The sequence below is a fragment of the Homo sapiens genome, chromosome 11, assembly GCF_000001405.40.
Source record: "Homo sapiens chromosome 11, GRCh38.p14 Primary Assembly".
In the NCBI taxonomy this organism is placed as follows: Eukaryota; Metazoa; Chordata; class Mammalia; order Primates; family Hominidae; genus Homo; species Homo sapiens.
Window position 1 is genome coordinate 2,318,274 of NC_000011.10, and position 12,120 is coordinate 2,330,393.

The 12,120-nt window shown below is 48.3% G+C and overlaps 1 long non-coding RNA gene and 1 pseudogene across 1 annotated transcript in view, besides 1 other annotated feature; one reads left to right on the forward strand and one right to left on the reverse strand.

Moving 5' to 3' along the window:
• On the forward strand, positions 3,445-3,554 carry RNU6-878P (RNA, U6 small nuclear 878, pseudogene; annotated as a pseudogene).
• Positions 10,306-10,807: an enhancer, noted in NCBI's record as "NANOG hESC enhancer chr11:2349809-2350310 (GRCh37/hg19 assembly coordinates)". NCBI's record gives its function as "activates a minimal SCP1, AML or CMV promoter by ChIP-STARR-seq in primed H9 embryonic stem cells {active_cell/tissue: H9 hESC(primed)}" and the evidence as "EXISTENCE:reporter gene assay evidence [ECO:0000049][PMID:30033119]".
• The window catches only part of CD81-AS1 (CD81 antisense RNA 1), a 49,244-nt gene continuing 47,599 nt past the window's right edge, over positions 10,476-12,120 (reverse strand). The window contains exons 2-3 of the long non-coding RNA NR_108080.1: positions 11,290-11,501; positions 10,476-11,030 (exon numbers count right to left, since the gene is read on the reverse strand). This is a non-coding gene — a long non-coding RNA (CD81 antisense RNA 1). The remainder of the gene's footprint in view (positions 11,031-11,289; positions 11,502-12,120) is intronic.

Sequence of the window (12,120 nt, forward strand, 5' to 3'; positions counted from 1 at the left end):
CTCTGCCCCGGTCCCTGGCACCCACCATCCACTTTTCGTCTCTATGGATTCAGCTGCTCCAGGAACCTCATATGTGTGGGGTCACACAGGATTCATCCTTTTGTGTCTGGTTTATGTCACTTACTGTTATGTCCATAAGGTCCATCCGTGTTGTAGCCTGTGTCAGAATTCTTGAAAGAGAAATCTTATCAGCTTTCCCATCATCTCACAGCCACATGGTCCGTGATTAAGGCAGGACATTTAGTGGGAAGCGTGGAGCATTTTAGATATTCTGCCTGCCACACCCACTCTTACTGGACGTTCAGACCACGTTGATGACGAATTAGCTCTAATGGTCCCTAAATGTTTGCACAATTTGCTCAAAATTCTAAGTCCTGGGTGGAACGCCAAGTTGGCCCAGCCTAGGCCAAGGTCCTAATGAAGCCGACAAAAGAGAAGGAATGTCAAGGCCCTTCTAACTTCCATAGAGGGTGTGTGGCCCCATCTCCCACCAACAATCCTGTAATCCCAACACTTTGGGAGGCCGAGGCAGGAGACTGCTTGAAGCCAGGAGTTTGAGACCAGCCTGGGCAACATGGCAAGATCTTGTTTCTACAACAACAACAAAAAGAAAACATTAGCCAGGCATGGTGGCACACACCTGTGGTCCCAGCCACTCAGGGGGCTGAGGTGGGAGGATCTCTTGAGCCCAGGATGTCGAGGCTGCAGTGAGCCATGATCACGGTACCGCACTCCAGCCTGGGTGACAGAGTGAGACCCTGTCTCAAAATATAAACAAATAGGCGGGGGGCAGTGGCTCACGCCTGTAATCCTAGCACTCTGGGAGGCCGAGGCAGGCAGATCTCTTGAGGTCAGGAGTTCAAAGCCAGCCTGGCCAACATAGTGAAACCCCATCTCTACTAAAAATACAAAAAAAATTAGCCAGGTGTGGTGGCGGGCGTCTGTAATCCCAGCTACTGAGCAGGCTGAGGCGGGAGAATCGCTTGAACTTAGGAGGCAGAGGTTGCAGTGAGCCGAGATCGCACCATTGCACCCCAGCCTGGGTGACAAGAGCAAAACTCCATCTCAAATAAATAAATAAATAATAAAAATAAATAAAGTACAAAAAAATTAGCTGGGCATGGTGGTGGGTGCCTGTAATTCCAGCTACTCAGGAGGCTGAGGCAGAAGAATCACTTGAAGTCAGGAGGTGGAGGGTGCAGTGAGCCAAGATTGCGCCACTGCACTCCGGCCTGGGTGACAGAGCAAGACACCATCTCAAAAAAAAAAAAAAATTTAATATATATATATATATGTGTGTGTGTGTGTGTGTGTGTGTGTGTGTGTGTATACATATATACACATATATGACTAACTAAATAAATAAATGCTAATAAATAAAATAAATAAATTAAAATAAATCTCCAAACTAGAAGAGTAAGGACTAACAGGGCCAAGAGGTAAACTTTTGTGAATGTTCCAACCATAAGTGCTGCCCTCACTCTCACCCGTAGGCCCCCGGCCTGTGGATTCTGGTTTAGGGGAACGGCACCATTCACCAGGGTCCAGGGTCATATGCTGTAGGACTCTCTGCAGTCTTGTGGTGGCATCTTCCAGCTGAGCTCCTAAATAATCCTGAGTGGTCCTGAGAAGCCAGATCACCATCCCACAGGGGTGGGTCCTGTGGAGGGACAGGGTACATGGAACCCTAGTGAATCCCATGGGGTCTCCCCACTGCCCTGTCCTTTGGCTGTAAAGGCGATGCCTTGGCTGGAAACAGCAGTACGTGCAGGAGCAGGCAGTAGGCTGGGAAGGAAAGTGCCGGTGCCGGAGGAAGCAGTGCTAGTGGAGGGGAGTGGGTCCAGATCAAGAAGGGTTAAGTGCAGTCATCTTTCCCATCATCTCATAGTTGCACGGTCCAGGGATGAAGACAGGACAGTTAGCAAGGAGAGGGGAACCGGATCATTTAAGACCACAGCTGGAAGATGTCCCTGAATGTTTGCACAATTTGTTGAAGGTTCTAAGTCCCGGGTCGAACACCAAGTTGGCCCAGCCTAGGCTGAGGCCCTAATGTAGCTTGGCTAACAAGAGAGAAGGAATGTTGGGGCCCTTCTAACCTCCATAGGGGGGTGTGGCCCCCCATGAAGTGGAAATAGTGCCAGTGGGGGAGCATCAAGGAGCAGGGCCATATCCTATAGGACTTCACTGCAGTCTTGCGGTGGCATCTCCCAGCTGTGCTCCTAAATGATTCTGTCCCCTCCGCACTAAATGTCCTCCCTTCGTCCCTGGGAAAAGCTAGACCCTCTCCATGAAGGAAGGCGTCCAAAGCCAGTCAGCCCTTGGCCAGGTGACCAATCGGTCTCCCATGAGATGTGGTGCGCTTCTGCGGGGCGGGACGGCACACTGCTGACCTTGATCGGGCATCGGCTGCAGTGCAGGGGTGTCTGGAAGAGCTTGGTAAGCTGAGTCCCTGTGGCTGGGCCACGGCGGCTCCCCTCCCCTCCATGTCTGCCTCAGGGCAGCAACAGCTCCCTTGGGGCAGAGGCTGCCTGTCTGCCACGGGTTCCAAGAACCTTATTAGAGTACAGTACCCCATGCGCTTGACAGTATGCCCAGCCTGTCCAGCTACAGGACTCAGCAGACAAACAACACCCAGGTCAGACTACACCTGATGCCCATAGACAGGGCTCAGTCTCCACCCAGGCCCAGGGGAAACCGAGCGCTGTATATCCAAGCGAGAAGAGGTCCTGGACACAGAGGGCAAACTCTGCTCTCCTCGACGGGCACTGTGGCCTCCACCATGGCTTGGCTCAGGCTCCGAGGGCGCCTTGGTCAGCCAAGACCCCAAGAGGACCCTTAGGTCCCTGGGTCACAACTGAGTGGCTCAGTCCACACAGGAACAAGACCACATGGGCATCGTCACTGGCTGTGCCTCCTGCAGAAAGCAGGCCACCCCTGGCGTGCCTGGACACAGGGGAAGCACACACCCAAATGCAGGCTGTGTTTCCTCCAAAGAGTGCTGCGCACGGATGACTCAGGGTGCAGGACTGGTCCTTCACCACCACGGAGTAGGCATGCCCGGCTTCGTTGGACCCCAGAGAGAGCTTCAGGAGAAAGCAGGAGTCTCTGTTTTTACAGGGTTTCCTTCTCACCCTGCCACTCATGGTTTTTGTTAAAGCAACCTACAACTTCCTCACCTCCAGGTCATATCAGCCCAATGTCCTGTGGGCTGGGGAGACGGTCAAGGTCCACATGGGCTAAATTGTGGCTGAGAGCTAGGTTATTCATGTAATCCCAAGGCAGGTCCACGCTGCTGTCCCTCCCAGGTGAGAGCAAACCACCTTTATGGTTTTCTATATGTTGGGATAGACTGAAAAACAACAACAAAACAGGTGTTTGCTGGCGAAATAGCTGCTTGCCAGTACAAATGCCTGTGCTGATTTGTTCCAATTAAGAAGAAAACTGGTGCTTGCTTCAGCCACACATACACTAAAATTGGAACCATACAGAGAAGATTAGCATGGTCCTCCCTGCGCAAGGATGGCACGCAAATTCTTGATGCATTCCATATTTTTGGAACATACCTCAAAATAATAAGAGCCATATATGACAAACCCACAACCAATATCGTACTGAATGGGCAAAAGCTGGAAGCGTTCCCCTTGAAAACCAGCGCAAGACAAGGATGTCCTCTCTCACCACTCCTATTTAACATAGTAGTGGGAAGTTCTGGCCAGGGCAATCAGACAAGGGAAAGAAATAAAAAGTATTCAAATAGGAAGAGAGGAAGTCAAACTATCTTTATTTGCAGATAACATGATCCTATATCTAGAAAACCCCATCATCTCAGCCCAAAAGCTTCTTAAGCTGATAAGCAACATCAGCAAAGTCTCAGGATACAAAATCAATGTGCAAAAATCGCTAGCATTCCTGTACACCAACAACAGGCAAGCCAAATGAACTCTCATTCACAATTGCCAGAAAAAGAATAAAATACTTAGGAATACAGCTAAGAAGGGATGTGAAGGACCTCCTCAAGGAGAACTACAAATCACTGCTCAAAGAAATCAGAGATAACACAAACAAATGGAGAAACATTCCATGCTCATGGATAGGAAGAATCAATATCATGAAAATGGCCTCACCGCCCAAAGCAATTTATGGATTCAATGCTATTCCCATTAAACTACCATTGACATTCTTCACAGAATTAGAAAAACTATTTTAAAATTCATATGGAATCAAAAAAGAGCCTGAATAGCCAAGGCAATCCTAAGCAAAAAGAACAATGCTAAAGGCATCATGCTACCCAACTTCAAACTATACTACAGGAATACAATAACCAAAACAGCATGGCACTGGTACAAGAACAGATACGTAGACTGATGGAACAGAATAAAGAACACAGAAATAAAACTGCACACCTGCAACCATCTGATCTTTGACAAACCTGACAAAAATAAGCAATGGGGAAAGGATTCCCTATTTAATAAATGGAGCTGTGAGAACTGGCTAGCCATATGCAGAAAATTGAAACTGGACCCCTTCCTTACACCATATATAAAAATCAACTCAAGGTGGATTAAAAACGTAAATGTAAAACCCAAAACTTTAAAAACCCTAGACAAAAACCTAGGCAATACCATTCAAGACACAGGCATGGGCAAAGATTTCATAACAAAGACACCAAAAGCAATTGCAACATAAGCAAAAATTGACAAATGGGATCTAATTAAACTAAAGAGCTTCTGCACAGCAAAAGAAACTATAAACAGAGTAAACACACAGCCTAAGGAATGGGAGAAAATTTTTGCAACCTATGCATCTGACAAAGGTCTAATATCCAGTGTCTATAAGGAACATAAACAAATGTACAAGAAAACAAACAAACAAACAAACAAACCCATTAAAAAAGTGGGCAAAGGACTTGAGCAGATACTTCTCACAAGATGACATACACGCGGCCAACATTTGAAAAAAAGCTCAACATCACTGACCATTAGCAAAATGCAAATGAAAACCACAATGAAATACTATCCCACACCAGTCAGAATGGCCATTATTAAAAAGTCAAAAAATAACAGATGCTGGTGAGGTTGTGGAGAAAAAGGAATGCTTTTACACTACTGGCAGGAGTGTAAATTAGTTCAACCATTGTGGAAGACAGTGTGATAATTCCTCAAAAACCTAGAGGCAGAAATATCATTCTACCCAGCAATCCCATTGCTAGGTATATACCCAAAGGAATATAAATTGTTCTGCCATAAAGACACATGCACGTGTATGTTCACTTCAGCACAATTCACAATAGCCAAGACATGGAATCAAGCCAACTGCTCATCAATGATAGACTGGATAAAGAAAATGTGGTACATATACACCATGTAGTACTATGCAGCCATAAAAAGAAACGAGTTCATGTCCTTTGCAGGGACATGGATGGAGCTGGAGGCCATTATCTTCAGCAAACTGACACAGGAACAGAAAACCAAATACCGCACGTTCTCACTTATAAGTGGGAGCTAGATGATGAGAACACAAGGACACATGGGGGGAAACAACACACAGTGGGACCTGTTGTTGGGTTGGGGGTGGGAGGAGGGAGAGCATCAGGAAGAATAGCTAATGGATGCTGGGCTGAATACCTGGGCGATGGAATGATCTGTGCAGCAAACCGCCATGGCACATGTTTACCTATGTAACAAACCTGCACATCCTGCACATGTACCCCTGAACTTGAAAGCTGGAATTTTTTTTTTTTTTTTTTTTACTTTTTAAGCTCTTTTGTTAAAAACTAAGACACAAACACACATAGCCTCGGCCTGCACAGGGTCAGAATCATCAGTTTCACTGTCTTTCACTGTCACATCTTGACCAGTTTTGTGACCGGAAGGTCTTATGGGCAGTGACATGCATGCAACTGTCATCTCCTGTTATAGCAATGCCTTCTTCTGGATACCTCCTGAAGAAACTGCCTGAGGTTGTTTTACATTTAACTTGTTTTATATATAAGTAGAAGGAGTACACTCTAAATAAAAAGTATAGTAAATACATAAACGAGTAACGTAGTTGTTTGTTATCATTGTCAAGTACTGTGTGCTGTGCATAAATATATGTGCCAGATTTTTATATGACTGGTAGCACGGCAGGTTTACTTACACCAGCATTGCACAAAACACAGGAGTAATTGATACGGTTTGGCTGTTTCCCCACCGACATCTCATCTTGAATCGTAATTCCCATAATCCCCATGTGTTCTGAAAGGGACCCGGTGGGAGGTAATTGAATCATGGAGGTGGTTACCCCCATGCTGTTCTCGTGATAGTGAGTGAGTTCTCACAAGATCTGATGGTTTTATAAGGAGTTTTTCCCCCTTTCATTTGGCACTTCTCCTTGCTGCTGCCATGCGAAGAAAGACCTGTTTGCTCCCCCTTCCACCATGATTGTAAGTTTCCTGAGGCCTCCCCAGCCATGCTTAACTGTGAGTCAATTAAACCTCTTTCCTTTATAAATTACCCAAGTTCGGGTATGTCTTTATTAGCAATGTGAGGATGGACTAATACAAAATGCATTGTGCTACAACATCATTAGGTGATAGGAATTTTTCAGCTCCACTATAATCTTATGGGACCACTATCACACATGTACCCGTTCTTGACCAAAGCATCCTCATGCTGTGCACAACTGTACTCAGCCACCGGCTGAGTCCCCACATTGGTTTCCTGACGTGTGGGGTGAGGGCCACTATTGTGGGCCAACTGGAAGCCATTAGAGGTGCCTCTACCTAGAAAAATAGTCAAAAGCGATACAATAATAGTCAGTCAAAAGCTGCATTTCCAGAGGAATTTCAGAGGTTAGTGCCACCATCAAATACCTGAAAGATGCAGGGGCAGTGATCCCCACCACAGCCCCATTCCACTCACCTATTTGGCCAGTAGGGAAGACAGGCGGGTCCTGGAGAATGACAAGGGATTGTCCTAAGCTTGACTCCAACTGCAGCTGCTGGGCCAGATTTGGTTCCATTGCTTGAGCAAATTAGCTCATCTCTTGCTACCTGGTGTGCAGTTATTGATCTGGCGAATGTGTCCTTCTCCACCCCTGTCCACAAGGCCCAGCAGAAGCCAGGCCAGCAATGCACCCTCACTGTCCCACCTCAGGGGCCTCTCGCCTCTCCAGCCTGTGTCAGAGGTAATCCTCAGGGGTCTGGATCACCCTTCCCTTCCCCGGCATGTCACACTGGCCCATTACACTGATGACATTATGCTAACTGGACATAAGGCACAAGAAGCAGCAATTATTCTATACTTGTTGGTGTCAGAGGGTGGGAAATAAATCCAACTAAAATTCAGAACCTTCTACCTCGGTGAAATTTTTAGGAGTCTAGTGCTGTGGGGCCTGCTCTAAGGTGATACATAGATTGTTGCAACTGAACCCTCCCACGATCAAAAGAGAACGACACCAGGTGAGCCCGTTTGATGTGAGGAAGACAGGTTCTTCCTCATTTAGGTGTCTGACTCTGGCCCATTTACTGAGTGATTTGAAAAGCTGCTAGTTTTGAATGTGGCCCAGCAGCAGGTCCAGGCTCTGTGCAAGCTGTTCTGCCACCTGGGCCAATGACCCAGCAGATCCAGTCTGAGGTGTCAGTGGCAGACAGGGACACTGTGTAGAGCCTTTGCCAAGCCCCAGTAGGTGACTCATAGCTCAGGCCCTTACAGTTTTGGAGCAAGGCCCTGTCATCATCCACAGATAACCACTCCGTTTTGAGAAACAGGTTTTGGACTGTGTATTAGTCTGTTTCACACTGCTATAAAGATATTACCTGAGACTGGGTAATTTATAAAGAAAAGGGGGTTAGTTGACTCACTGTTCTGCATGGCTGGGGAGGCCTCAGGAAACTTACAATCATGGCGGAAGGGAAAGCAGACACATTTTACATGGCGGCCAGTGGGAGAAGAATGAGCAAGACAGGAACTACCAAAACTTATAAAACCATCAGATCTCGTGAGAACTCACTCATTGTCATGAGGACAGCATGGAGGAAACAGCCCCCACGATCCAGTCACCTCCGGCCAGGTCTCTCCCTTAACACCTGGGGATTACAATTCAAGATGAGATTTGGGTGGGGACACAAAGCCTAATCATATCAGCCTGTGTCTAGGTCTTCATAGAAACTAAACACTTGACCAAGGGCCACCAAGTTACCACATGGCCTGAGCTGCCCATCATGATCTGGGGATTATCTGACCCATGTTGCTATAAAGTTGGGCGTGCACAGCAGCGCTCCATTTGAATGAAAGTGATGTATTGTGATCAGGCTCAAGCAGGTCCTGAAGGCAAAAGTAGGTTACGTGAAGAAGTGGCCCAAATGCCTGTGGCCCCCACTCCTGCTCCAGGTGCCTTCTCTCTCCCCACCTGCATCTGTTGCTGCACAGGGAGGTCCCTCTCATCAATTGACATGGGAAGAGAAGACTCAGGCCATACTTACAGGTGGTCTGCTCGATATGCAGGTGCTATCAGAAAATGGACAGCTGCAGCCCTACAGCCCCTGCGGCAGAGGCAAAGGATGGAAAATTCCATTCCAAACACGAGAAATGGGAAGGAAAGGACTAACTGAGCATGACCAAATCCAAAACCCAACAGGACAAAATTAAATCTTAAAGCTGAAGAATAATTTTCTTTGACTCTTTGTCCTACCTTCTGGACACACTGGGACAAGGCTCCTGGTGGCCCCACTCCTACGGCTTTGTGTGCCTGTGGCTTTCCCAGGCTGGTGGTGCATGCTGGTGGCTCTACAGGTCCCGAGTGTCCTCTGCTCCCTTGGCACCACTACACATTGTCCTGTGGGGACTCTCCATGGCCCAAACCTGTAGCAGTTCTCGGCCTGGGCCCCAGGGTCTCCATGACACCCAGTGGAATCCAGGAGCAGGAACTTTTCCTCCACAGCACGTGCACTCCGTGCATCTGCAGAGCTGGCACCGTGCTGACACCATCGAGGTTTACCGCCTGCGCCTTCTGGGCTGGCAGCCCAAGGAACACCTGTACCCACGTGAGCCTCCATGGGGGTGGGCCAGGAGTGATGCACCAGCTTGCAGGGAGGAACAGAGATTGAGGCAAGTCTGGGCAGCACGCCCCGAGGTCTCATGGAGGCCCTGGGCCCTTCTTTTGAAGCCATTCTGCCCTCAAGACCCCGGCACCCTGAGCCTGTGATGGGCATGACAGTCTGGAAGGTCTCGGAAATGCCTTGGGGGTCATTCTCCCATTGTCTTGATGAGCAGCTTCTGACCTCCTTCTACCCGTACTAATCTCCTTATCCAAATTTGCTTGACTACACCCTTGCTATTCTCTCCTGAACATGCTTTCTTATTCTTTTTTTTTTTTTTATTATACTTTAAGTTTTAGGGTACATGTGCACAATGCGCAGGTTTGTTACATATGTATACATGTGCCATGCTGGTGTGCTGCACCCATTAACTCGTCATTTAGCATTAGGTATATCTCCTAATGCTATCCCTCCCCGCTCCCCCCACCCCAAAACGGGCCCCAGAGGGTGATGTTCCCCTTGACGTGGGCAGGCTAAGAGTTTTCCAAGTCTTTAAGTTTTGTTTCCTTTCTATTATCAATTCTTTAACTCATTTCTCTTTTCTCGCCTTTTGCTATAAGCGGTCAACAGAAGTCATGCAGTACCCGGAGTGCTTTGCTTAGAGATTTCTTCCAACAAATATTCTAGTTCATCGCTTTTAAATTCTGCCTCCCACAAAGCCCCAGGGCATGGACACAATTCAGCCAAGTTCTTTGCCACTTTGTAAGAGGGACAGCCCTCCCCCAGTTTCTAATAAGATAGTTCTCATGTCTGTCTAAGACCTCACGAGAATGGCTTTGACTGTGTGGATCTCCACCAGCATTCTGATCACGACCACTGAGATCATTGCTACCAGCCCAGAGGCTCTCTCTACAGCCCTGCCCTCCTCGGCCTGCACTGGAGTCACCTTAGCACCAACTCCGTTCGCAGGAGTGTGTGCTTTTCCAGCGTGCACTTCAAAACGTTTCCAGCCTCTCCCGTGACCCGGTTCCGGCTCTGCTGCCACATTTTCAGGTGTTTGTTACAGCAACAGCCCCGCTTCCTGGTAGCAATGTCTGTCTTAGCCTGTTTGTGCTGCTGTAACAAAGCACCATAGAATAGGTCATTTATACGTCATAGAAATTGATTGCTCACAGTTCCAGAGGCTGGGAATCCTGCACTGCAGGTGATGTCTCGAGAGGACCTTCTTGCCGCGTCCTCACATGGCAGAAAGGGAAAGGGCACACAGGCACCGAGCTCATTCCTCGCCCTTTTCTAAAGCACTGATCCCACCCAGGAGGGCGGAGCCCCCACGGCCTCATCGCCTTCCAAAGGCCCCACCTCTCACTACCGTTGCGTTGGGGACTTTTCAACATGAATTTTGGAGGGACACAAATATTCAGACCACAGTAAGCCATGACTAATGCACACAGAAAACTGAAGTTTCAGGATGTATTTGCTCTCATTCCTCTCCATCAACTCAATGGCAGCTGTCAGAAGGCTCTCAGACTTGAATGGGCCTTAATCCCATCTTTGTCTTCTGTTGATCGGTCCAAGTCAGGCATTTTATTGGGCCTTTGTCTCCCAAAGCTTGTTAAAATCCTAACTCTTGGAGCAGTTGGTTTTTCTGCCCTTGCGGTGCTCTGAATTTCTGGATCCATCTCTCTGTTCACTTTCATCTCTGCTTGTAAGCTGGGCCTTCTTTCTCAAGCTGGTCTCCGTCTCGTGTTGCGGGACCTAACACAAAACTCGCAATGTGGTGTTTTCCCACTTCGCCCCTTATGCTCCTGGCTGAGCCTTCTTGTATTCAGCCTGCCAGGTCACCAGGAGTGATTTTAGCAAGTTTGCTGCTCCAGCTCCACCAAGTCCCCATCACTCGGGCCCCCGGTGCCTGCTCTCTTGGCAGCAGCTGGGTTTGGGGGTTCCGACTGCTACCACAATACAGCCTGGCCTGTCCTGACTAATACAGAAGCAGGCTCTGTGAAGGAGGGTGCTGCCATAAGAAGAAACGCAAATTAACACGTATCTACACAGTCTCCGTGGTGCACAACAGTCAGCTTTTCCTGCTTATGTGTCTGGGCTCTGCTTGACTGATCTTGGCTGGGTGCATTCCCAAGACAGCAAGTCGTGGCTGGCCTCGGGCACAGGAAAGGGCGAGAGACTGGGGTCACAGATACAATCTAGCATAGGGGGACAGATAACTCAATGTTTAAATTCATAGGGTGCTGGACCAAGAGAGGGCATATCCAAACCTGATGTGCTCATCCATCGGAGATGCTGGGTCTGGAGAGGGTGTAGTGACTGGGTGGACTTTGGCAGGTCAACAGAGGGGTGGATGGCGGAACAGACGATACCATGTGTTCACCACACTGTTTCTTCCTCCTAGGCAAATGGAAAGACTGCATTTCCCAGTCACCTCTATGGTTAGTGTGGTTGCATGAGGGTCATGTGACCGAGTTCTGACCTGTGGGATATGGGAGGAAGCAACGTAAGCTACTTCCCAATCGCCCTTCCCTTTCCAAGGTGACCTTACAGGACACACGTTCCCAAAGTCAGCTCAAAGATGAAGAGTCACTTGACCACCATATGCAAGTGAAAAATAACCCCGAGACCTCAGGGGGTATTTGTTAACTGCAACGTAGCCTACTTTCAAAGCATGGTTCCTGGACCAGCTGCATCACCCGGGAATGCGGTAGAAATGCAGATTCTCAGGCCCTGCCCAGGCCTCCCAAATTAAGGATGCTGGGGTGGAGCCTAGCAATCTGCGTCTAAAAAGCTCTCCAGGGCAATCTGAAGGCTGTTCCTGGCCAGGCACAGTGGCTCATGTCTGTAATCCCAGCACTTTGGGATTACTTGAGAGGACCTTCTTGCCGTGTCCTCACATGGCAGAAAATGAAAGGGCACACAGGGGGATCGAGGCGGGTGGATCACTTGAAGTCAGGAGTTGGAGACAAGCCTGGCCAACATGATGAAACCCCATCTCTATTAAAAATACAAAAATTAGCCAGGTGTGGTGGTGCATGCCTATAGTCCTAGCTACTCAGGAGGCCGAGGCAGGAGAATTGCTTGAACCCAGGAGGTGG